Consider the following 26,506-nt stretch of genomic DNA (forward strand, 5'->3'; position numbering starts at 1 on the left):
AACAAAAAAACCAGCTCTGTTGGTACCTGCATCACAGTCTAAAGGATAAAGTTCATATTCTTTACCTTGACACTAAGTCTTCTGCAGGCTCCTCCTGATGGGGCTAATTTCCTGGTATCATAATCTATATATTGCCTATAACCAGAGCCTATGAGCTCACCAGAGGAGGAACTTTCCCCAGTGCCGAGGAGCTAGCAGGCACTCAGTAAAGAATCCTTGAACGACTGTGGTGAACACTGAGATCAGATGGATAGGTTGGGGCCAGGTTGTAGAGGCATTTAGGCCAGGCTAAGAAGAAGAAAACCAAAACTTTGGGATATCTTTGTCTTGGGGGCTGGAGGCCCCTCCTCTTACTCTTGTTCCTCTTCAACACTGGCAACAGCAGGTAGAGCAGGAGTGGTCTGGCCCATTTGGAGCGTGACATCTGAGAAATGGCTCAGAAATGGCAGCACTGCCAGGACTCTGGCCTGTGATTCTCATGTGATGTGCTGGGCCCACATCACTGGGGCTAACTCAGCTCAGTTTGTGGCAGTGATAGGAGGGGAAGACCAGGGCTCCTGACCAAGCCAGGCTTTGGCAAAACTCCTACCTTCCTCAGCTATGGAGCTGATGATAACCTGCCTCCAACATGAGTGTGCTCAGAATGCTCTGTGTAGCCAGAGCCTAGTTAACCAAGAGGTAAACTTGACTTGGAAAAGGCAAATATTTATACTGAACTAAGCTCCTGGAAACCAAGGCCAAAATGTCCATGATTCTGGAAAAAGGGGAAGAACTAATTTTCTATTGCTGCTGTAACGAATTTCCAAAAACTTGGTGGCTTAAGAAAACAGTTTATCATCTTGTATTTCTGTAGCTCAGAAGTCTAACACAAATATGATGGGGCTAAAAATCAAGGTGGCAGCCGAGAAGCACTCCTTTCTGGAGACTCTATGGGAGAACCCATGTCTTTGGCTTTTCCACCTTCTAGAGGCCACCTGCATCCCTTGATTCATGGCCTGTTCCTTCATCTTCAAAGCCAGCTTGTGGCATCTCTGACCATTCTTCTGCAGTCACATCTCCCTCTGACTACCATCAGGAAAAGTTCTCTGCTTTAAAGGACCCCTGTGATTACACTGGGCGTACCCAAATAATTCCTGATAATCTCCTTTGTAAAAGGTCCTTAACTTTAATTACATCTGCAAAATCCCTTATACCATGTAAAGTAATGTTTCTGCAGGTTCTGGGGCATTATTCTGCCTACCACAAGGCATGATATAGAGAAAAGTCCAAAAAATGTTTTCTTTTTCTGTTTTTTTTTTTTTGAGACAGAGTCTCGCTCTGTCTCCCAGGTTGGAGTGCAATGGCGTGATCTTGGCTCACTGCAACCTTGGCTCACTTCAATCGCACTTCAAGCGGTTTTCCTGCCTCAGCCTCCCAATTAGGTGGGATTACAGGCATGTGCCACCATGCCCGGGTAATTTTTTTTGTATTTTTAGTAGAGACAGGGTTTCTCCACGTTGGCCAGTCTGGTCTCAAACTCCTGACCTCAGGTGATCTGCCAGCCTCATCCTCCCATGGTGCTGGGATTACAGGCATGATCCACCACACCCAGCCTAAAAATGTCAATAATTAGAAGCCAGTTCTGTATCAAGTGACATGGAAAATATCAATATTTTATTACATTAAGATAAGCAAATTCAATGAATATACATATAAAATAATCCCAATTTTGTGGAACCTTCCCTTCCCCCTACTAAACTCTGAGTTATGTACTGACTGAGCCACCTCCTGCCTGTCATGGCCTGGCTTCCGGGGATAGATGGTGGAACCCACCTCCCCCACTCACACTTGCAGAATGTTGGATGAGCAGAGGGGCAGTCCCACCTCAGGTTTTGCTGTCAGTGGTCATTAGATAAATAGATTTTTGGCTAATTTGACATATGATAAATTGTCTTTTAGCAAACTCATTTGTGGCAAGTTGATCCACAGTTAAAACAATAATAGTAATGATGATAAGAAATCATGAAATAAAAGCAGTCACAGCTTTTTCCTTTCAGAAGTCCCCTCTCTCTCACTAGAGAGAGCTGTTTTCCTTTCTCTTTCTTTTGCCTCTTAAACTTCCGCTCCTAAACTCCTTGTGTGTGTGTCTGTCTCCTACATTTTCCTGGCATGAGACGACAAACCCTGGGTATTTACCCCAGTCAACATAGCCACTTCTTACTGAGGACCTCATCCAGGATACCAAAGTACAGCATTCATCGAAATGAGTCAAGGAAACTTACAAGCTTTTGCCTACATTTTAGACTAACCCTGCTTATTCCTATGAATCAAGTGATGATCTGCAACTTGAAGAAACAAAAAGGGATGGCAACATCTGGTGGAGGCAAACCACTGTTACGACCCATTGGAATGGCTGACACCAATCAAACTCCAAATGGTGCTGCAGACAGAACCACACATGGACATGCCTTTCTTCCGAGGACCCTTAGATCAACCCCAGGAGGAGCCTTAGCTGCTGTTACCCACACAACACCCCTTTTCAGCATGAAGTAGCCAGAAAGAGTCATCGTCCACCACCCCCTAAAAGCAGTTAGGGACACCATCCTGGCCAACATGGTGAAACCCGGTCTCTACTAAAAATACAAAAAAATTAGCTGGGCGTGGTGGCACGTGCCTGTAGTCCCAGCTACTCAGGAAGCTGAGGCAGAAGAATCACTTGAACCCGGGAGGTGGAGGTTGCAGTGAGCCGAAGATTGCACCATTGCACTCCAGCCTGGCGACAGAGCGAGACTCCCTCAAAAAAAAAAAAGCAGTTAGGGTTACCACTCCAGAGGGGGGAATGATACAGGAGTTAAGAAATTAATTAGGGTACAGAAGTTTTTCTTTTAATGAAAAGCAGCCCCAAATTATTTTCCTTTCTAACAAAGAGCAGCCTGCAAAATTGAGCTGCAGACACAGATGCCTGCAGTTGAGCCAATCATGTTCAAGATGGCAGCTCCATCTTCCCTTTTCTTTGTCAGCCACTTTTACAGTAAGGGGCAGACAAGATGGCGCTGGCCAAGGGGAAAGTTCATTTGCATAATAAGATTAGGGTGGGATGGCCAGCCTTCCCCTCACCTCTGTAAATGTCATACCTGATGGAACCAATCTGTGAGCCCTACATAAATCAGACACTGCCTCCTAAAGCCTGAGTATAAAATCCAGGGCACCGGCTGCCGGCTGGCCTTTTCCTCAGAAGTTCCCTCTCTGTCACTACAGAGACAGCTGTTTTCCTTTCTCTTTCTTTTGCCTATTAAGCCTCCACTCCTAAACTCAAAACAAAAACAGTCACAAGCCCACCAAGTTCTGTTTACTCCTGTGGACATACCTGGTCCTTCTGTGTCTATGATGGATCTGTGGACACATCTCTCACCATTTTGTGCTGTTTATTTTGTTTTAAACTTCTGATTCTTTACCAAATAATTCTTCCTGGTTTCCTCACAGTTGTTTTAGGGGAAGAGTTCAGAAAGATCCAAACCACCAGAGAATAGAGAGCACCTGATTGGAAGCAGGTCTAACAGTGTCAGGGGGCAGCCAGAAAGGACCCCACACTAACTGGTCAGAGGCAAGTGTCAGCTCCACAAGCTGGAAAGTGGGAAGCTATGGCTGAGAAGCATTTGTCAAAAGGGAAAAAGAATATTTGGAGGAGAATGTTGATTTTTTAATAGTGCTGCACGGAATCCAAGGCAAGATAGAAAATATCCAGGTTAGAATTCTGCAGTTTTAAGTAGGAACTGAGATGAAGAGCGAAGTACTATACCTACAAGGGAAAACATCCCTAAAGGAAGCTGTGCCAGTAATTTAGTAACTGGGTATAATCTTCCCCAGGGAAAATTCTGGGTCTGTCCTACTACTCCCACACAATTAAGAGATTTTGGCTTCAACATTTACCTAATCCATTTCTGCATTCAAGCTGACAGGTGATGCTACCTCTGATTCCTTTTATGCTTTTAATAGGCTTATAATTAAGGATGAATAATACATTTAAAATTATGGTTATTACTGGGAGAGGATTTGGGAGAAATTAGGATTTTTATATTTCTGTACTACTTGATTTTTTTTACATCAAGCTTATATAATTTTCCCAGTAAAAACAAATTTGGCATCTGATAGACTGCAATGGTTACACACAAGCCTGTGGGACAGGTTCTCTGCCTACTGGATACTTTAATTCCCAACTTTTGTCTTTCCTTTCATTCTCCCCCAAATAAAGATAATAGTACTCGCCTCATATGGATCCTGGGAGATTTTTTTTCCCCCTCCAAGGTATGGTGTCTGACTTGGTAACTGCCAATTAAAAAAAAAATCTCCCTCTTTGTGTTCTATTTTTTTGGGGGCCTGTTGCCCATTATGTAACAGCTCTCAAATCTGAAAAGTCAGTCAGGCTGAACATCTTAGGTAGCTGCTCATAAATTAATTATTGGGCTGATTTTAATTACAGATTGGAATCTCCTGGTGGGCAGGGTCTGGCGTCTTCTGCTTTTAATTCCTTAGAAGTACTTACATTTGCCGCAAAGCCTGCACTTAACCAAAATTTGCTGAATTTAATAGAATTAACACATAAGATTGAGGATTTTGAGTTCCAAAACAGATTTAACCAAGAGGTACTTTGGAGCAGGTAGCAATCTTCAAACTCCTTAAATTATACCATTTAACAATGGTTTTAACTATCTCCTCCTCCTCCTTCTCATCCTCCTGTTTCTTCTCCTCCTCCTCCCTCTTCCTCTTCCCCTTCCTCCTCCTCCTTCTCCTCCTCCTTTCTTTTTCTTCTCCTCTTCCTCCTTCTTCCTTTTCCTCTTCCTCCTCCCTTTTCTTGTTTCTTCTTCTTGCTCCTGCTCATTCTTCTTCCTTCTTCTTCTTTCTTCTTCCTCCTTCTTTTCCCTCCTTCTTCTTCCTTCTTCTCCTTTTTGACCAATCAAGTGAAGCAGTGGAAGTGGAGAAGGAACAAAGAAATCTGTGACTGTGATGAATTAGTTGTAAACACCACTGTACTTGAACCAACCTTAATTTTCTTCTTTATAGTTTTTAGTATGTTCCAATTTTCCATCATGTGCATATATTACTTTTATAAACAGAAAAAAGTAAATGTCAGTTAAAAAAATAATATTACACATCTTGTTGCTGGCTCCTGTGTATCTAGTTCCCCTCACCTTCTCATTTGCTTCATATCTTGGTGCTGGTTGCTCTGTAGCTACATCCCCCTCACCTTCTCATTTGCTTCTATTCTTGCCCTGGTCTCCAAAGCCTCCCAATTACTTCTTATGGATCCCTTCTCGGAAAGTGCCAAGAGTTATTTTCTAGCGGAAAGATTGAGGCCTTTGGAATCCACTAGACCAAGATTTGAATCCCAGCTCAGTGAAATCATGGGAAGTATCTTACCTCTCTGCATCTCGGTCTCCTTATCTGTAAAGGAAATAACACCTACCTTCTAGGTTGTTGTGTAGTTTGGGTCAGCAGCTTTCCCACTTTTTTTTTATTATTATTTTAAAAAATTGAGATGGGGCTCTTGCTATGTTGCCCAGGCTGGTCACGAACTCATGGGCTCAAGTGATCCTTCTGCTTCAGCCTCCTAAGTAGCTGGGACTACAGGTGCATACCACCATGCCTGGCTTGGTCATTTTGTTTAATTTTTTTATTTTTATTTTCTGTCTTTAAATTTTTTTAATTTTAATTTTATTTTTAATTTTCATGGGTACATAATGGGTGTGTGTGTATATATATATATGAAGTGTATGAGATATTTTGATACAGGTATAATAATCACATCAGGGAAAATGGTGTATCCCTTACCCCAAGCATTTATCCTTTCTTTGTGTTACAAATAATCCAATTATACTATTTTAGTTATTTTTACTATACAATAAACTGTTGACACTAGTCACCCTGTTGTGCTATCAAATACCAGATCTTATTCATTCTAATTATATTTTTGTATCCATTAACCATTTCTCCTTCTCCCTCCCCCGACTACTCTTCCCAGCCTCTGATAACCATTATTCTACTCTCTATTTCCATGAATTCAGTTGCTGTAATTTTTAGCTCCCACAGAGAAGAACACACAAAGTTTGTCTTTCTATGCCTGGCTTACTTAACATAATGACCTCCAGTTCCATCCATATTGCTGCAAATGACAAGAATTCACCCTTTAATTCACCCTTTATTATGGCCAAACACACTCCATTGTGTATGTGTACCACATTTTCTTCATTCATCTGTTGATGGACACTTAGGTTGCTTCCAAATCTTGACTATTTTGAATAGTGCTGCAATAAACATGAAAATGCAGATATCTCTTTGATATACTGATTTTCTTTCTTTTGCGTATATACCCAGGAGTAGGATTGCTGGATCATATGATTGCTGTATTTTTAGTTTTTTGAGGAACCTCCAAGCTGTTCTCCCTAGTGGCTATACTAATTTCCATTCCCACCAACAGTGTATGAAGGTTCCCCTTTTCTTCACATCCTCACCAGCATTCATTATTGTCTGTCCTTTGGATAAAAGCCATTTTAATGAGGGTGAGCTGATATCTCATTGTAGTTTTGATTTGCATTTGTCTGATGATCAATGATGGTGAGCACCTTCTCAGATACCCGTTTGCCATTTGTATGTCTTCTTTTGAGAAATGCCTATTCAGATCTTTTGCCCATTTTTAAAATTGGATTAGTAGATTTTTTTCCTATAGAGTTGTTTGAGCTCATTTTATATTTTTATTATTAATACTTGTGAGATGGATTTGTTTGTAAATATTTCCTCCCATTCTGTAGGCTATCTCTTCTCTTTGTTGATTGTTTCTTTTGCTGTGCAGAAGCCTTTAAGGGTATTACTCAAGAAATTTTTGCCCAGTCTAATGTCCTGGAGAGTTTCCACAATGTTTTCTTTTAGCAGTTTCATAGCTTGAGGTCTTAGATTTAAGTCTTTTTATTTTCTTTATGAGACAGGGTCTCACTGTGTCACCCAGGCTAGAGTGCAGTGGTCTCAGCTCACTACAACCTCCACCTCCTAGCTTAAAGTGATTCCCATGCCGCAGTCTCTTGAGTAGCTGGGATTACAGGTGTGCATCAACATGCCCAGCTAATTTTTTGTATTTTTAGTAGAGACAGGGTTTTACCATGTTGGCCAGGCTGGTCTCAAACTCCTGGTCAAGAGATCCACCCACCTTGGCCTCCCAAAGTGCCAGGATTACAGGTGTGAGCCACCATGCCCAGCCAGATTTAAGTCTTTATTCCATTTTTATTTGATTTTTGTATATGGTGAGAGATAGTGGTCTAGTTTCATTCTTCTGCATATGGATATCCAGTTTTCCCAGCACCATTTATTGAAGAGAGTGTCCTTTCTCCAATGTAGGTTTTTGACAACTTTGTTGAAAATAAGTTTACTGTAGATGTATGGATTTGTTTCTGGGTTCTCTATTCTGTTTCATTGGTTTATGTGTCTGTTTTTATGCCAGTATCATGCTCTTTTGGTTACTGCAGCTTTGTAGTATAATTTGAAGTCAGGTAATGTGATTCTTCAGTTTTGTTCTTTTTGCTCAAGATAGTTTTGGCTGTTCTGGGCCTTTTGTGGTTCCATATAAATTTTAGGATTTTTTTTCCATTTCTGTGAAGAATGTAATTGGTATTTTGATAGGGTTTACATTGAATCTGTAGATTGCTTTAGGTAGTATAGATATTTTAACATATTGAGTCTCCCAATCCATGAACATGGAATATCTTTCCATTTTTTTGTGTCCTCTTCAATTTCTTTCATCAGTGTTTTATAGTTATCATCGTAGAGATCTTTTACTTCTTGGTTAAGAAGGTATTTAATATTAGGTATTTAAATTTAATATTATTTGTAAAATAAATGACTGTACGTTGATTTTCTTTTTATTTTCTTTCTTTTTGTTTTTTGAGATGGAGCCTCACTTTGTCACCTAGGCTGGAGTGCAGTGGTGCCATCTTGGTTCACTGCAGCCTCCACCTCCTGGGTTCAAGTGATTCTCCTGCCTCAGCCTCCCTAGTAGCTGAGACTACAGGTATGTGCCACCACACCTCGCTAATTTTTGTATTTTTAGCAGAGATGGGGTTTCACCATATTGGCCACACTGGTCTTGAACTCCTGACCTCAAGTGATCAGCCCACTTTGGCCTCCCAAAGTGCTGGGATTACAGCTGTGAGCCACCATGCCTGGCCTGTATGTTGACTTTGTATCCTCCAACTTTACTGAATTTGTTTATCAGTTCTAATAGTTTTTTGGTGGAGTCCTTAGGTTTTTTTCAAATATAAGATCATATCATCTGCAAATAAGGATAATTTGACTTCTTCCTTTCCAGTTTGGATGCTCTTTATTTCTTTCTCTTGTCTGATTACTCTAGCTAGGACTTCCAGTACTGTTTTGAATAATAGTGGTGGAAGTGGGCATCTTTGTCATGTTCCAGATCTTTGAGAAAAGGCTTTAGGTTTTCCCCTAATTCACTATGATACTAGCTGTGGGTTTGTCATATAGCTTTTACTGTGTTGAGGTATGTTCCTTCTATGTCCAGTTTTTGGGGGGGGTTTTATCATGAAGGGATGTTGAATTTTATCAACTGTTTTTTCAGCATCAGTTGAAATGATCATATGGTTTTTGCCCTTCATTCTGTTGATATGATATATCACATTGATTGATTTGTGTATGTTCAACCATCCTTGCATCTCTGGGATAAATCCCACTTGGTCATGATGAATGATTTTTTTTTTCCATTGGAAAGATATTGCAGATGAGATGAATAATCACTTTAATGTGTTGTTGAATTCAGTGTGCTAGTATGTTGCTGAGGATTTTTGCATCAGGGATATTTGCCTGTAGTTTTTTTTTTTTTATGTGTCTGTCTAGTTTTGGCATCAAGGTAATACTGGCCACGTAGATGAGTTTGAAAATACTCCCTCCTCCTCTATTTTTCAGAATAGTTTGAGTAGGGTTGGTGTTTTGGGTCTTTCTTGCATTGCTATAAAGAAATAACTGAGGCTGGGCATGGTGGCTCATGCCTGTAATCCCAGCAGTTTGGGAGGCTGAGGAAGGCAGATCACTTGAGGCCAGGAGTTTGAGACCAGCCTGGCTAACATGGTGAAACCCTATCTCTACTAAAAATATGAAAATTAGCTGGGTGTGGTGGTACATGCCTGTTCTTTCAGCTACTCAGGAAGCTGAGGCATGAGAATTGCTTGAACCCAGGGGGTGGAGGTTGCAGTGAGCTGAGATTATTGCACCACTGCCCTCCAGCCTGGGTGACAGAGTGAGACCCTGTCTCAAAAAAAAAAAAAAAAAAAAAAGAGAAATACCTGAGTCTGGGAAATTTACAAAGAAAAGAGTTTTAATTGGCTTATGGTTCTGTAGGCTGTACAAACATAGTGCTGGCATCTGCTCAGCTACTGGGGAGACCTCAGGGAGCTTTTACTCATCGCAGAAGGGTGCCAGGCACTTCACATGGTAAGATTTGGAGCAAGAGGTGGTGGGGGGAGGTGTCACATTTTACCAACAACCAGATCTCTCAAGAATGCACTCACTATTGTGAGGACAGCACCAAGCCATGAGGGATCTGCCCCCATGATCCAAACACCTATCACCAGGCCCCACCTCCAATACTAGGGATTACAATTCAACATGAGATTTGGGTAGGGACAAATATTGAAACTATATCAGTTGGTATTAGTTCTTCTTCATATGTTTAGTAACATTTAGCAGTGAAGACATAGAGTCCTGGGCTTTCATTTGTTACTTGTTATTGGTCTGTTCTGGTTTTGGATTTCTTCAAGGTTCGATCTTGGCAGGTTGTATGTGTCTAGGAATGTATCCATTTCTTCTAGGTTTTCCAATTTATTGGCATGTAGTTGCTCATAGTAGCCTCTAATGATCGTTTGAATTTCTTTGATATTGGTTGTAATGTTTCCTTTTTCATCTCTGATTTTATTTATATGAGTCTTCTCTCCTTTTTTTCTTAGCGAGTCTGGCTAAGGAATTGTTGATTTTTGTCTTTAAAAAAACAACTTTTCTTTTTGTTGATCTTTTCTATTGTTTCCTTCATTTCAATTTCATTTATTTTTGCTCTCATCTTTATTATTTCTTTCCTTCTAATAATTTTGGGTTTGGCTTGCTCTTGCTTTTCTAGTTCTTTGAAATGCATCATTATGTTGTTTATTTGAAGTTTTTCTGTTTTTCTTTTTTAATGTAGGTGCTTATGGCTATAAACTTTCTTCTTATTACTGCCTTCTCTGTATCCCATAGGTTTTGGTATATTGTGTTTCCATTATCATTTGTTTCCAGAATTTAAAAAATTTCCTTCTTAATTTCTTTGTTGACCCACAGTCACTTAGGAGCATATTTTAATTTCCATATATTTGTATGGTTTCAAACATTCCTCTTGTTATTGATTTCTAGTTTTTTTCCATTGTGGTCAGAGAAGATATTTGATATAATTCCAATTTTTTAAGACTTATTTTGTGGTCTAACATATGGTCTATCCTTGAGAATGATCCATGTGCTGAGGAGAAGAATGGGTATTCTGTAGCCATTGGATAAAATGTTCTGTAAATATCTATTAGATCTGGCCAGGCACGGTGGCTCATGCCTGTAACTCCAGCACTTTGGGAGGCCAAGGCAGGTGGATCACAAGGTCAGGAGATCAAGACCATCCTGACTAACGTGGAGAAACCCCATCTGTACTAAAAATACAAAAAAATTAGCTGGGCATGGTGGTGAGCACCCGTAGTCCCAGCTACTCAGGAGGCTGAGGCAGGAGAATGGTGTGAACCTGGGAGGTGGAGCTTGCAGTAAGCTGAGATCACACCACTGCACTCCAGCCTGGGCAACAGAGCAAGACTGCATCTCAAAAAAGAAAAAATCTATTAGAGCCATTTGATCTATAGTGCAGATTAAGTCTGATGTTTCTTTGTTGATTTTCAGTCTGGATGATCTGTCCAATGCTGAAAGTGGGGTGTTGAAGTCTCCAGCTATTATTGTATTGGGGTCTATCTCTCTCTTTAGCTCTAATAATATTTACTTTATATAGCTGGGTGCTCCAGTTGGAATGCATATATTTTTACAATTGTTATATACTCTGGCCGAATTAACCTCTTTTCATTATATAATGACCTTCTTTGTCTCTTTTTATAGTTTTTGTCTTGAAATCTATTTTGTCTGATGTAAGCATAGCTATTCATGATCCTTTTTGGTTTCCATTGGAATGGAATATATTTTTCTATCCCTTTGTTTTAGTCTATGTGTGTCTTTATGGGTGAAGTGTGCTCCTTGTAGGCAACAAATCACCGGGTCTTGCTTTTTTTTTTTTTTTTTTTTTTTTTTTTTAAATCCATTCAGCCACTCTATGTCTTTTGAATGGAGAGTTTAGTCCATTTAGATTCAATGTTATTATTGATAAGTAAGGACTTACTCTTGCCATTTTGTTATTTGTTTTCTAGTTGTTTTGTGGTCCTCTGTTCCTTCCTTCTTTTGTTCCTGTCTTCCTTTCTGTGAAGGTGATTTTCTCTGGTAGTATTTAAAAATTTCTTGCTTTTTATTTTTTGTGTATCTGTTGTATGTTGTTTTGGGGACTTTTTTTGAGATGGGGATCTCGCTTTGTCACCCAGGCTGGAGTGCAGTGGTGCGATCTTGGCTCACTGCAACCTCTGCCTTTCAGGCTCAAGTGATCTGCCCATCTCAGCCTCCCAAGTAGTTGGGACCACAGGTGAGTGCCACTATGTCTGGCTAATTTTTTTTTTTTTTTTTTGGTAGAGACAAGCACTTTTGTAGAGACAGCACTTTCACCACCGTGTTTTCCAGGCTGGTTTCAAACTCCTGAGCTCAAGCCAAAGGCCTGCTTTGGCCTCCCAAAGTGCTAGGATTACAAGTGGGAGCCACCACTCCTGGCCCCTGTTGTATGCTTTTTTATTTCAGGTTACCATAAGGCTTGTATTTAATATTTTATAACCCATTATTTATTTTATTATTTTTGGCATATTCACAACATAACCCATTATTTTAAACCAATGAAAACTTACCACTGATTACATAAATAAAGAAGCAAAGAAAAAATTAATAAAAACTCTACATTTTAACTTTGTCCTCCTGCTTTTTAATTCTTTGTTGTTTGTGTTTGTGTCATATTGTACTGTCTATGTCTTGAAAAGTTGTTATAGTTATTAGTTTTGACTGGTTCAGCTTTTGGTCTTTCCACTCAAGATATGAGTAGTTTACATACCATGATTACAGTGTTACAATATTCTGTTTTTTTTCTGTGTACTTCCAATTACCAGTGAGTTTTACACCTTCAAATTATTTTTCATTGCTCATTAATGTCCTTTTCTTTCTGATTAAAGAACTCCCTTCAGCATTTCTTGTAGGACAGGTCTGGTGTTGATGAAATCCCTCAACTTTTGTTTGTCTAGGAAAGTCTTTATTTCTCCTTCATATTTTCAAGGATATTTATTTCTCCTTCATATTTCAAGGATATTTCCACTGGAAAGTCTGCTGCCAGACATATCAGAGCTCCATGGTATGTTATTTGTTTATTTTCTGTTGCTGCTTTTAGGATCCTTTCTGTATTCTTGACCTTGGGAGTTTGTTTATTAAATGTTTTGAGGTCATCTTCTTTGGGTTGAATTTGTTTGGTGTTCTATAACCTTCATATACTTGAATATTGATATCTTTCCCTAGGTTTGGGAAGGTCTTTGTTACTATCACTTTGAATAAACTTTCTACCCCATCTCTCTCTCTACCTCCTCTTTAAGGCCAATAACTCTTTTTTTTTTCTTTTTGAGACAGAGTCTCACTTTGTTGTCCAGGCTGGAGTGCAGTGCTGTGATCTTGGTTCACTACAGCCTCCACTTCCCAGGTTCAAGCAATTCTCCTGCCTCAGCCTCCAGAGTAGCCGGGATTAAAGGCGCCTGCTGCCACGTCCAGCTAATTTTTGTATTTTAGTTGAGACGGGGTTTCACGATGTTGGCGAGGCTGCTCTCGAACTCCTGACCTCATGATCTGCCCACCTTGGCCTCCCAAAGTGCTGGGATTACAGGAGTGAGCCACTGCACCTGGCTGCAGCCAGTAACTCTTAAATTTGCCGTTTTGAGGCTATTTTCTAGATCTTGTAGGCATGCTTCATTCTTTTTTATTCTTTTTTCTTTTGTCTCTTCTGATTATATTTTCAAATTGCCTGTCTTCAAGCTCACTAATTCTTTCTTCCACTTGATCAGTTCTACTGATAAGAGAGTCTGATGCACCCTTATGTATGTCAGTATCATTTTTCAACTCCATAATTTTTGCTTGATTCTTTTTAGTTATTTTAATCTCTTTGTTAAAGTTATATGATAGGATTCTGAATTCCTTCTCTGTGTTAGCTTTAATTTCTTTGAGTTTCCTCAAAACATTGTTTTTTTTTAGACAGAGTCTTGCTCAGTTGCCCAGGCTGGAGTACAGTGGTATGATCTTGGCTCACTGAATCTCCGCCTCCCAAGTTTAAGCAATTCTCCTGCCTCAGCCTCCTGAGTAGCTGGGATTACAAGCATATGCCACCACGCCCAGCTATTTTTGTATTTTTAGTAGAGATAGGGTTTCACCATGTTGGCCAAGCTGGTCTTGAACTCCTGAGCTCAAGTGATCTACCCACCTTGGCCTCCCAGAATGTTGGGATTACAGGTGTGAGCCACCGTGCCTGACCAAAACAGCTATTTTGAATTCTGTTTCAAAGGTCACATATCTCTGTTTCTCTGGGATTGGCCTCTGGTGCCTTATTCATTTGATGAGGTCATGTTTTCCTGGCTGGTCCTGATGCTTGTGGATGTTCATCAGTGTCTGAGTTAAATATTTATTATAGTCTTTGCAGTCTGGGCTGTTTGTATCTGTCCTTCTTGGGAAGGCTTTCCAGGAATTCAAAGGAACTTGGGTGTTGTGATCTAAGTTTTTGGTCACTGCAGCTGTATCTGCATTAGAGGGCACACCAAGCACAGAAATGCTGTGGCTCTTTCACAGTCTGTTGTATCTTTTTTGATTTGAGGTTACCATGAGGTTTGCAGATAATATTTTATCACTCATTATTTTAAACTGCTGACAACTTAACACTGATTACTCATAGAGGCACTGCCATGGTGGTCTTGGATAAGATCTGGAAGAATTCTCTGGATTACCAGGCAGAGACTCTTATTGTCTTCCCTTATTTTCCCCCAGGCAAAGTCTGTCTTTCTGTGATCAGCTGCCTGGAGTTGGGGGAGAAGTGACACAAACACCCCTGTGACCACCACTGGGACTGTGCAGGGTCAGACGTGAAGCCAGCATAGTACTGGGTCTTGCCCAAGGCCTATGGTAACCACCGCCTGGCTACTACCTATGTTCACTCAAGGCCCTATGGCTCTAAAATCAGCAGGTGGCAAAGCCAGCCAAGCTTATGTCCCTCTCTTTAGGGTGGCAAGTTTCCCCCAGCCTGGGGTGAATCCAGAGATGCCTTCCAGGAACTGGGGCCTAGTCAGAAACCTTAGGAATCTACCTGGTACTCTATTGCACTGAGGCTGAACTGGCACCCAAGCCACAAGACAAAGTCCTTCCCACTTTTCCCTCCCCTTTCCACAAGCTGAGGAGTCTCTTGCCATGGCCACTTCCACCCCAGGCCTGTGGTGGGTACTGTCTGGCTACTGCTGATGTATACTCAAGGCCCAAGGGCTCTGCAGTAAGCTTGTGGTGAACGCTGCCCAGCCTGGGACTCACCCTTCAGGGAAGCAGGCTCCCCTCTGGCCCAGAGCAGGTCCAGGAATGCTATCTAAGAGCCAAAGCCTGGAATCAGGGACCTTAAGAGGCCACTTGGTATTCTAACCCCACAGTGGCCAAGTCCCCTTTACTCTTTCCACTTCTTTTCTCAAGCAGAAGGAATTTCTCCCCATAGCCACCACAGCTGTAATGTGCTGGGTCACACCTTAAGCCTGCACGTCTCTGAGTCTCACCCAAAGCCCATGATGAGTACTACCTGGCTACTTCTGATTATTCAGGGCCAAAGGGCTCTTTAGTCAGCTGGTGAGGAATCCTGCCAGGACTGGTCCTTCCCTTCAAGGCAGCAGGTTCCCTTCTGGCCCAGGGTGTGGCTAGAAATGTCAGCTTGGAGCTATGGCCTGGAATGTGGGCCTCAGGACTTTGCCTGGTGCCCTATCCTACTGCAGCTGAGCTGGTATCCAATGCAAGACAAACTCATCTTTGTTCTTCCCTCTCCTCTTCTCAAGCAGAGGAAAGAAGTCTCTCTCTGAGCTTTGAGCTGCCCTGCCTGGGGTTGGGAGAGGGGTGGTGCAAGCAATCCCTTGGCCATCCCAGCTAGTGTCTCACTAGGTTGTGTGCCCCCCACATTCACTGGCTCTGAGCCCAGCACAGCACCAGGACTTACCCAGGAATTGCCATCCTTGTGGCCTAGACTGCCTTTCAAGTTTATGTAGAACCTCAGAGCACTTCAGCCCATGGTGGGGAGGCTTACTGGAACTCAGGTTCCCACTGCTGGGATGGGTGATTTGCCTCTAGCTAGGGCTGGTCTAAATGATCCCTCCATGGGACCTGGGTGAGTTCTTCCCAGTGTTGCTTTGTGCTATGACTGGGCAGCACTGAGTTCCAATGCAAAGTCTGAAAATCACTGCACTCTTCCTCTCCCAGAAGCACACATTCTCTCTCCATGCCAGGTGGCCGCTGCCGGCGAATGGGGGAGAGATAGCATTTAGCAATTCAAGACTGTCTTACCCTCTTCAGTTACTCTTTCAGTGATACGAAGTTAAAACCAGGTACTGTGATCACTCACCTGATTTTTGGTTCTTATGAAGGTGCTTTTTTTTGTGTGGATCATTATTCAATTTGGTGTTCCTGCAGGGAGCAGGATTAGTGGAGGCGTCTATTCAGCCATCTTGCTCCACCTCCCCTAGCTATGTCCTTTTAAATATTTATAATCGACATACAATATATTACACTTAAAGTATACAATAAGTTCTAAAATATAACTGAAATCATCATCGAACTCTAGATAATTAACATATCCATCAACCCTAAAGTTTCCTCATGTTTAGATGATCTCCTTTCCCTCTAGAAACCACTCATCTACTTTCTGTCATATAGATTATAGTTTGCCTTTTCTGGAGTTTTATATAAACAGAATCATATAGTATATGTTCTTTTCTGTCTGACTTCTTTTATTTACCATGATTATTTCATCCATGTTACATGTATCAACAGTTTATTCCTTGTTTGTTGATGATAGTATTTCATTGTATGGATATATACTCCAATGGGTTTATTCATTTACCTGTTGATGTATGTTGGATCGTTTCTAGTTTTCAGCTATCACAAATAAAACTGCTATAAACATTAAACATTAATGTCCAAGTCTTTGTATAGACATATGCTTTCATTTTCTCTTGGGCAAATACCTTGGGTGGAGTGGCTGGATATTATGGCCAGTGTATGTTTAACTTTATAAAGAGCTGTCGAAGTGTTTTCCTTTTTCTTTTTTCTTTTTGAGATGAAGTCTTGCTCTGTTGCCCAGGCTGGAGTGCAGTGGTGCAATCTCGGCTCATTGCAACCTCTGCCTCCCAGGTTCAAGCAATTCTCCTGCCTCAGCCTCCTGAGTAGTTGGGGTTACAGATGCCTGCCACCATGCCTAGCTAATTTTTGTATTTTTAGTAGAGACAGGGTTTCACCATGTTGGCCAGGCTGGTCTCAAACTCCTGATCTCAAGTGATCTGCCCGCCTTGACCTCCCAAAGTGCTCAGATTACAGGTGTGAGCCACCACATCCAGCCCCAAATTGTTTATACCATTTTATATTCCTACCAGGATTGTATGAGAGTTCCAGTTCTTCTAAATTCTTGCCAACATTTACTACTTTGAATAAATGTTCATTGTAAAAAAATTTTAAGAGGGTTATATAGGGGAAAAAAAGGCCGCTATTAATCTGTTAATTGCACTACTGGGAGATAAAGCTATTAAACTGTCATATTTGTGGCTGGGCGTGGTAACACATGCTTGTGATCCTAGCACTTTAGGAGGCTGGGGAAGGAGGATCACTTGAGACCAGGAGTTCGAGACCAGCCTGGGCAACACAGCAAGACTCTGTCTCCACAAAAATATTAAAAATTAAAAAAAAAAGAAATTGTCATGTTTGTAGACTTCCCAAATTTGCCATCCTAGGCAAACAGTGCTCTTGTTTTTAAACAAATAGTTGTATACATAATTTTCCCCCTCACTATTCAAAACATGTCATAAATGGTAAGTCCAAGAAAAATACAGGTATTCCCCCCCAAAGAAAACTGTAAAATCGACTTTTTTCTATCTGTACTGTTTTTTATTGGTTTTTAAATTGGTTTTCCAAGTGAGTAAATCAGAATCTATCTGTAATGGATTTTAAATTTAGTGTTTCTCTGTGATGTAGTAAACAAGAAACTAGAGGCAAAAATAGCCCTGTCCCTTGCTAAACTTCTAAGGCACTTTTCTAGTACAACTCAACACTAACATTTCAGGCCTTTAGTGCCTTATATGAGTTTTTAAAAGGGGGAAAAGGGAGGGAGCAAGAGTGTCTTAACTCATACATTTAGGCATAACAATTATTCTCATATTTTAGTTATTGAGAGGGCTGGTAGAAAAACTAGGTAAATAATATTAATAATTATAGCGCTTATTAAACACTACAGAACACTTACTATGTACCAGGCATTGTGGGAGGCTCTCTCTTGTGCATTATCTCATTTCATTAGGTCCATGGAGAGTATTGCATTTTCTTAGTTTAGGCATGGCCTCCACAATAAAGATTATCAAAAGCCTAAAAATATGTAAAAGAAACCTAGAAGTTATTTGTTGTGCTCCTTGGGGAAGCTAGGCAAATCCTTTCAACTGAAAACCATGGTGACTTCCAAGATCTCTGCCCCTCCCCATCGCCATGGTCCACTTCCTCTTCTCACTGTTCCTCTTAGAAAAGATCTGTGGACTCCACCACCACGAAATGGCGGCACCTTATTTATGGTCACTTTAGAGGGTAGGTTTTCTTAATGGGTCTGCCTGTCATGTTTAACGTCCTTGGCTGGGTCCAAGGCAGATGCAGTCCAAACTCTCACTAAAATTGCCGAGCCCTTTGTCTTCCAGTGTCTAAAATATTAATGTCAATGGAATCAGGCCAGAGTTTGAATTCTAGTCTCTTAGCCTTTGTTTCCCCTGTCCATAAAATGAATGGGGGTAATTCTTTCCTCCTACAGTTTATTTATATATTCACTAATTCATTCATTCATCCATCCATTCGTTCATTCGGTTTACTGAGTACCTACTATGTGCCAGCCCCTGTTCTAGGGTGGAAACTAAGAGAATGATGTACCTAGAGGGCGCTGGAAGCTCTAAAGCCCTAGCAGTTACTGCTTTTACTATTAGTGGTCGTTTTTTTCTCCCCCCCGCCCCCCGACAAATCAACAGAACAAAGAAAATTACCTAAACAGCAAGGACATAGGGAGGAACTTCTTGGCACAGAACTTTCCAAACACTTTTTCCTGAAGGGATACAAGAAGCAAGAAAGGTACTCTTTCACTAGGACCTTCTCTGAGCTGTCCTCAGGATGCTTTTGGGACTATTTTTCTTACCCAGAGAATGGAGAAACCCTGCAGGGAATTCCCAAGCTGTAGTTATAAACAGAAGTTCTCCTTCTGCTAGGTAGCATTCAAAGATCTTAATCTTCTGGGTTTCCGTTTTCTCGAATGAAAAATGCAGGTCCGAGCAGTTAACTGGCTGGGGCACCATTAGCAAGTCACTTAGCATCTCTGGGGCCAGTCTGCAAAGCGAGGGGGCAGCCTTAATGTGCCTCCAGCCTGAAGTCCTAGAATGAGCGCCCGGTGTCCCAAGCTGGGGCGCGCACCCCAGATCGGAGGGCGCCGATGTACAGACAGCAAACTCACCCAGTCTAGTGCATGCCTTCTTAAACATCACGAGACTCTAAGAAAAGGAAACTGAAAACGGGAAAGTCCCTCTCTCTAACCTGGCACTGCGTCGCTGGCTTGGAGACAGGTGACGGTCCCTGCGGGCCTTGTCCTGATTGGCTGGGCACGCGTTTAATATAAGTGGAGGCGTCGCGCTGGCGGGCATTCCTGAAGCTGACAGCATTCGGGCCGAGATGTCTCGCTCCGTGGCCTTAGCTGTGCTCGCGCTACTCTCTCTTTCTGGCCTGGAGGCTATCCAGCGTGAGTCTCTCCTACCCTCCCGCTCTGGTCCTTCCTCTCCCGCTCTGCACCCTCTGTGGCCCTCGCTGTGCTCTCTCGCTCCGTGACTTCCCTTCTCCAAGTTCTCCTTGGTGGCCCGCCGTGGGGCTAGTCCAGGGCTGGATCTCGGGGAAGCGGCGGGGTGGCCTGGGAGTGGGGAAGGGGGTGCGCACCCGGGACGCGCGCTACTTGCCCCTTTCGGCGGGGAGCAGGGGAGACCTTTGGCCTACGGCGACGGGAGGGTCGGGACAAAGTTTAGGGCGTCGATAAGCGTCAGAGCGCCGAGGTTGGGGGAGGGTTTCTCTTCCGCTCTTTCGCGGGGCCTCTGGCTCCCCCAGCGCAGCTGGAGTGGGGGACGGGTAGGCTCGTCCCAAAGGCGCGGCGCTGAGGTTTGTGAACGCGTGGAGGGGCGCTTGGGGTCTGGGGGAGGCGTCGCCCGGGTAAGCCTGTCTGCTGCGGCTCTGCTTCCCTTAGACTGGAGAGCTGTGGACTTCGTCTAGGCGCCCGCTAAGTTCGCATGTCCTAGCACCTCTGGGTCTATGTGGGGCCACACCGTGGGGAGGAAACAGCACGCGACGTTTGTAGAATGCTTGGCTGTGATACAAAGCGGTTTCGAATAATTAACTTATTTGTTCCCATCACATGTCACTTTTAAAAAATTATAAGAACTACCCGTTATTGACATCTTTCTGTGTGCCAAGGACTTTATGTGCTTTGCGTCATTTAATTTTGAAAACAGTTATCTTCCGCCATAGATAACTACTATGGTTATCTTCTGCCTCTCACAGATGAAGAAACTAAGGCACCGAGATTTTAAGAAACTTAATTACACAGGGGATAAATGGCAGCAATCGAGATTGAAGTCAAGCCTAACCAGGGCTTTTGCGGGAGCGCATGCCTTTTGGCTGTAATTCGTGCATTTTTTTTTAAGAAAAACGCCTGCCTTCTGCGTGAGATTCTCCAGAGCAAACTGGGCGGCATGGGCCCTGTGGTCTTTTCGTACAGAGGGCTTCCTCTTTGGCTCTTTGCCTGGTTGTTTCCAAGATGTACTGTGCCTCTTACTTTCGGTTTTGAAAACATGAGGGGGTTGGGCGTGGTAGCTTACGCCTGTAATCCCAGCACTTAGGGAGGCCGAGGCGGGAGGATGGCTTGAGGTCCGTAGTTGAGACCAGCCTGGCCAACATGGTGAAGCCTGGTCTCTACAAAAAATAATAACAAAAATTAGCCGGGTGTGGTGGCTCGTGCCTGTGGTCCCAGCTGCTCCGGTGGCTGAGGCGGGAGGATCTCTTGAGCTTAGGCTTTTGAGCTATCATGGCGCCAGTGCACTCCAGCGTGGGCAACAGAGCGAGACCCTGTCTCTCAAAAAAGAAAAAAAAAAAAAAAGAAAGAGAAAAGAAAAGAAAGAAAGAAGTGAAGGTTTGTCAGTCAGGGGAGCTGTAAAACCATTAATAAAGATAATCCAAGATGGTTACCAAGACTGTTGAGGACGCCAGAGATCTTGAGCACTTTCTAAGTACCTGGCAATACACTAAGCGCGCTCACCTTTTCCTCTGGCAAAACATGATCGAAAGCAGAATGTTTTGATCATGAGAAAATTGCATTTAATTTGAATACAATTTATTTACAACATAAAGGATAATGTATATATCACCACCATTACTGGTATTTGCTGGTTATGTTAGATGTCATTTTAAAAAATAACAATCTGATATTTAAAAAAAAATCTTATTTTGAAAATTTCCAAAGTAATACATGCCATGCATAGACCATTTCTGGAAGATACCACAAGAAACATGTAATGATGATTGCCTCTGAAGGTCTATTTTCCTCCTCTGACCTGTGTGTGGGTTTTGTTTTTGTTTTACTGTGGGCATAAATTAATTTTTCAGTTAAGTTTTGGAAGCTTAAATAACTCTCCAAAAGTCATAAAGCCAGTAACTGGTTGAGCCCAAATTCAAACCCAGCCTGTCTGATACTTGTCCTCTTCTTAGAAAAGATTACAGTGATGCTCTCACAAAATCTTGCCGCCTTCCCTCAAACAGAGAGTTCCAGGCAGGATGAATCTGTGCTCTGATCCCTGAGGCATTTAATATGTTCTTATTATTAGAAGCTCAGATGCAAAGAGCTCTCTTAGCTTTTAATGTTATGAAAAAAATCAGGTCTTCATTAGATTCCCCAATCCACCTCTTGATGGGGCTAGTAGCCTTTCCTTAATGATAGGGTGTTTCTAGAGAGATATATCTGGTCAAGGTGGCCTGGTACTCCTCCTTCTCCCCACAGCCTCCCAGACAAGGAGGAGTAGCTGCCTTTTAGTGATCATGTACCCTGAATATAAGTGTATTTAAAAGAATTTTATACACATATATTTAGTGTCAATCTGTATATTTAGTAGCACTAACACTTCTCTTCATTTTCAATGAAAAATATAGAGTTTATAATATTTTCTTCCCACTTCCCCATGGATGGTCTAGTCATGCCTCTCATTTTGGAAAGTACTGTTTCTGAAACATTAGGCAATATATTCCCAACCTGGCTAGTTTACAGCAATCACCTGTGGATGCTAATTAAAACGCAAATCCCACTGTCACATGCATTACTCCATTTGATCATAATGGAAAGTATGTTCTGTCCCATTTGCCATAGTCCTCACCTATCCCTGTTGTATTTTATCGGGTCCAACTCAACCATTTAAGGTATTTGCCAGCTCTTGTATGCATTTAGGTTTTGTTTCTTTGTTTTTTAGCTCATGAAATTAGGTACAAAGTCAGAGAGGGGTCTGGCATATAAAACCTCAGCAGAAATAAAGAGGTTTTGTTGTTTGGTAAGAACATACCTTGGGTTGGTTGGGCACGGTGGCTCGTGCCTGTAATCCCAACACTTTGGGAGGCCAAGGCAGGCTGATCACTTGAAGTTGGGAGTTCAAGACCAGCCTGGCCAACATGGTGAAATCCCGTCTCTACTGAAAATACAAAAATTAACCAGGCATGGTGGTGTGTGCCTGTAGTCCCAGGAATCACTTGAACCCAGGAGGCGGAGGTTGCAGTGAGCTGAGATCTCACCACTGCACACTGCACTCCAGCCTGGGCAATGGAATGAGATTCCATCCCAAAAAATAAAAAAATAAAAAAATAAAGAACATACCTTGGGTTGATCCACTTAGGAACCTCAGATAATAACATCTGCCACGTATAGAGCAATTGCTATGTCCCAGGCACTCTACTAGACACTTCATACAGTTTAGAAAATCAGATGGGTGTAGATCAAGGCAGGAGCAGGAACCAAAAAGAAAGGCATAAACATAAGAAAAAAAATGGAAGGGGTGGAAACAGAGTACAATAACATGAGTAATTTGATGGGGGCTATTATGAACTGAGAAATGAACTTTGAAAAGTATCTTGGGGCCAAATCATGTAGACTCTTGAGTGATGTGTTAAGGAATGCTATGAGTGCTGAGAGGGCATCAGAAGTCCTTGAGAGCCTCCAGAGAAAGGCTCTTAAAAATGCAGCGCAATCTCCAGTGACAGAAGATACTGCTAGAAATCTGCTAGAAAAAAAACAAAAAAGGCATGTATAGAGGAATTATGAGGGAAAGATACCAAGTCACGGTTTATTCTTCAAAATGGAGGTGGCTTGTTGGGAAGGTGGAAGCTCATTTGGCCAGAGTGGAAATGGAATTGGGAGAAATCGATGACCAAATGTAAACACTTGGTGCCTGATATAGCTTGACACCAAGTTAGCCCCAAGTGAAATACCCTGGCAATATTAATGTGTCTTTTCCCGATATTCCTCAGGTACTCCAAAGATTCAGGTTTACTCACGTCATCCAGCAGAGAATGGAAAGTCAAATTTCCTGAATTGCTATGTGTCTGGGTTTCATCCATCCGACATTGAAGTTGACTTACTGAAGAATGGAGAGAGAATTGAAAAAGTGGAGCATTCAGACTTGTCTTTCAGCAAGGACTGGTCTTTCTATCTCTTGTACTACACTGAATTCACCCCCACTGAAAAAGATGAGTATGCCTGCCGTGTGAACCATGTGACTTTGTCACAGCCCAAGATAGTTAAGTGGGGTAAGTCTTACATTCTTTTGTAAGCTGCTGAAAGTTGTGTATGAGTAGTCATATCATAAAGCTGCTTTGATATAAAAAAGGTCTATGGCCATACTACCCTGAATGAGTCCCATCCCATCTGATATAAACAATCTGCATATTGGGATTGTCAGGGAATGTTCTTAAAGATCAGATTAGTGGCACCTGCTGAGATACTGATGCACAGCATGGTTTCTGAACCAGTAGTTTCCCTGCAGTTGAGCAGGGAGCAGCAGCAGCACTTGCACAAATACATATACACTCTTAACACTTCTTACCTACTGGCTTCCTCTAGCTTTTGTGGCAGCTTCAGGTATATTTAGCACTGAACGAACATCTCAAGAAGGTATAGGCCTTTGTTTGTAAGTCCTGCTGTCCTAGCATCCTATAATCCTGGACTTCTCCAGTACTTTCTGGCTGGATTGGTATCTGAGGCTAGTAGGAAGGGCTTGTTCCTGCTGGGTAGCTCTAAACAATGTATTCATGGGTAGGAACAGCAGCCTATTCTGCCAGCCTTATTTCTAACCATTTTAGACATTTGTTAGTACATGGTATTTTAAAAGTAAAACTTAATGTCTTCCTTTTTTTTCTCCACTGTCTTTTTCATAGATCGAGACATGTAAGCAGCATCATGGAGGTAAGTTTTTGACCTTGAGAAAATGTTTTTGTTTCACTGTCCTGAGGACTATTTATAGACAGCTCTAACATGATAACCCTCACTATGTGGAGAACATTGACAGAGTAACATTTTAGCAGGGAAAGAAGAATCCTACAGGGTCATGTTCCCTTCTCCTGTGGAGTGGCATGAAGAAGGTGTATGGCCCCAGGTATGGCCATATTACTGACCCTCTACAGAGAGGGCAAAGGAACTGCCAGTATGGTATTGCAGGATAAAGGCAGGTGGTTACCCACATTACCTGCAAGGCTTTGATCTTTCTTCTGCCATTTCCACATTGGACATCTCTGCTGAGGAGAGAAAATGAACCACTCTTTTCCTTTGTATAATGTTGTTTTATTCTTCAGACAGAAGAGAGGAGTTATACAGCTCTGCAGACATCCCATTCCTGTATGGGGACTGTGTTTGCCTCTTAGAGGTTCCCAGGCCACTAGAGGAGATAAAGGGAAACAGATTGTTATAACTTGATATAATGATACTATAATAGATGTAACTACAAGGAGCTCCAGAAGCAAGAGAGAGGGAGGAACTTGGACTTCTCTGCATCTTTAGTTGGAGTCCAAAGGCTTTTCAATGAAATTCTACTGCCCAGGGTACATTGATGCTGAAACCCCATTCAAATCTCCTGTTATATTCTAGAACAGGGAATTGATTTGGGAGAGCATCAGGAAGGTGGATGATCTGCCCAGTCACACTGTTAGTAAATTGTAGAGCCAGGACCTGAACTCTAATATAGTCATGTGTTACTTAATGACGGGGACATGTTCTGAGAAATGCTTACACAAACCTAGGTGTTGTAGCCTACTACACGCATAGGCTACATGGTATAGCCTATTGCTCCTAGACTACAAACCTGTACAGCCTGTTACTGTACTGAATACTGTGGGCAGTTGTAACACAATGGTAAGTATTTGTGTATCTAAACATAGAAGTTGCAGTAAAAATATGCTATTTTAATCTTATGAGACCACTGTCATATATACAGTCCATCATTGACCAAAACATCATATCAGCATTTTTTCTTCTAAGATTTTGGGAGCACCAAAGGGATACACTAACAGGATATACTCTTTATAATGGGTTTGGAGAACTGTCTGCAGCTACTTCTTTTAAAAAGGTGATCTACACAGTAGAAATTAGACAAGTTTGGTAATGAGATCTGCAATCCAAATAAAATAAATTCATTGCTAACCTTTTTCTTTTCTTTTCAGGTTTGAAGATGCCGCATTTGGATTGGATGAATTCCAAATTCTGCTTGCTTGCTTTTTAATATTGATATGCTTATACACTTACACTTTATGCACAAAATGTAGGGTTATAATAATGTTAACATGGACATGATCTTCTTTATAATTCTACTTTGAGTGCTGTCTCCATGTTTGATGTATCTGAGCAGGTTGCTCCACAGGTAGCTCTAGGAGGGCTGGCAACTTAGAGGTGGGGAGCAGAGAATTCTCTTATCCAACATCAACATCTTGGTCAGATTTGAACTCTTCAATCTCTTGCACTCAAAGCTTGTTAAGATAGTTAAGCGTGCATAAGTTAACTTCCAATTTACATACTCTGCTTAGAATTTGGGGGAAAATTTAGAAATATAATTGACAGGATTATTGGAAATTTGTTATAATGAATGAAACATTTTGTCATATAAGATTCATATTTACTTCTTATACATTTGATAAAGTAAGGCATGGTTGTGGTTAATCTGGTTTATTTTTGTTCCACAAGTTAAATAAATCATAAAACTTGATGTGTTATCTCTTATATCTCACTCCCACTATTACCCCTTTATTTTCAAACAGGGAAACAGTCTTCAAGTTCCACTTGGTAAAAAATGTGAACCCCTTGTATATAGAGTTTGGCTCACAGTGTAAAGGGCCTCAGTGATTCACATTTTCCAGATTAGGAATCTGATGCTCAAAGAAGTTAAATGGCATAGTTGGGGTGACACAGCTGTCTAGTGGGAGGCCAGCCTTCTATATTTTAGCCAGCGTTCTTTCCTGCGGGCCAGGTCATGAGGAGTATGCAGACTCTAAGAGGGAGCAAAAGTATCTGAAGGATTTAATATTTTAGCAAGGAATAGATATACAATCATCCCTTGGTCTCCCTGGGGGATTGGTTTCAGGACCCCTTCTTGGACACCAAATCTATGGATATTTAAGTCCCTTCTATAAAATGGTATAGTATTTGCATATAACCTATCCACATCCTCCTGTATACTTTAAATCATTTCTAGATTACTTGTAATACCTAATACAATGTAAATGCTATGCAAATAGTTGTTATTGTTTAAGGAATAATGACAAGAAAAAAAAGTCTGTACATGCTCAGTAAAGACACAACCATCCCTTTTTTTCCCCAGTGTTTTTGATCCATGGTTTGCTGAATCCACAGATGTGGAGCCCCTGGATACGGAAGGCCCGCTGTACTTTGAATGACAAATAACAGATTTAAAATTTTCAAGGCATAGTTTTATACCTGATGGCCAGCTTTGTTTATTTGACCAAGAATCTGAGTTAG

At 41.7% G+C, this 26,506-nt stretch overlaps 2 protein-coding genes and 1 non-coding gene across 12 annotated transcripts in view, besides 1 other annotated feature; 2 read left to right on the forward strand and 1 right to left on the reverse strand.

Annotated features, from left to right (window-relative positions):
• Positions 1-18,981, reverse strand: part of PATL2 (PAT1 homolog 2) — a 45,659-nt gene extending 26,678 nt beyond the window's left edge. For 4 of the 9 annotated variants that reach the window (XM_011521345.4, XM_011521343.4, XM_011521338.4 and 1 more), the window contains exons 1-3: positions 18,611-18,914; positions 18,462-18,520; positions 17,687-17,805 (exon numbers count right to left, since the gene is read on the reverse strand). The gene's annotated coding sequence lies outside the window, so the exon portion shown is untranslated. The other 5 variants (XM_047432230.1, NM_001387262.1, XM_011521339.4 and 2 more) reach the window with 4 other exon arrangements.
• Positions 18,929-19,591: an enhancer, noted in NCBI's record as "H3K27ac-H3K4me1 hESC enhancer chr15:45003536-45004198 (GRCh37/hg19 assembly coordinates)". NCBI's record gives its function as "activates a minimal SCP1, AML or CMV promoter by ChIP-STARR-seq in primed H9 embryonic stem cells {active_cell/tissue: H9 hESC(primed)}" and the evidence as "EXISTENCE:reporter gene assay evidence [ECO:0000049][PMID:30033119]".
• B2M (beta-2-microglobulin) lies at positions 19,108-25,736 on the forward strand. Of its 2 annotated transcripts, NM_004048.4 has the most exons (4): positions 19,108-19,204; positions 23,014-23,292; positions 23,920-23,947; positions 25,198-25,736. In NM_004048.4, exons 1-3 carry the CDS (start codon positions 19,138-19,140, stop codon positions 23,931-23,933), a joined length of 360 nt encoding a protein of 119 aa, NP_004039.1. In that variant the 5' UTR covers positions 19,108-19,137; the 3' UTR covers positions 23,934-23,947; positions 25,198-25,736. The 2 variants fall into 2 exon arrangements, with proteins under 2 accessions (NP_004039.1, XP_005254606.1); XM_005254549.4 differs by lacking the exons at positions 23,920-23,947; positions 25,198-25,736 and having other exon boundaries at positions 23,014-23,893.
• On the forward strand, positions 25,435-25,484 carry MIR10393 (microRNA 10393). The gene has a single exon (NR_162102.1). It is a non-coding gene; the product is annotated as a microRNA 10393 (primary transcript).

The sequence above is a fragment of the Homo sapiens genome, chromosome 15 (assembly GCF_000001405.40).
Source record: "Homo sapiens chromosome 15, GRCh38.p14 Primary Assembly".
NCBI lineage: Eukaryota > Metazoa > Chordata > Mammalia > Primates > Hominidae > Homo > Homo sapiens.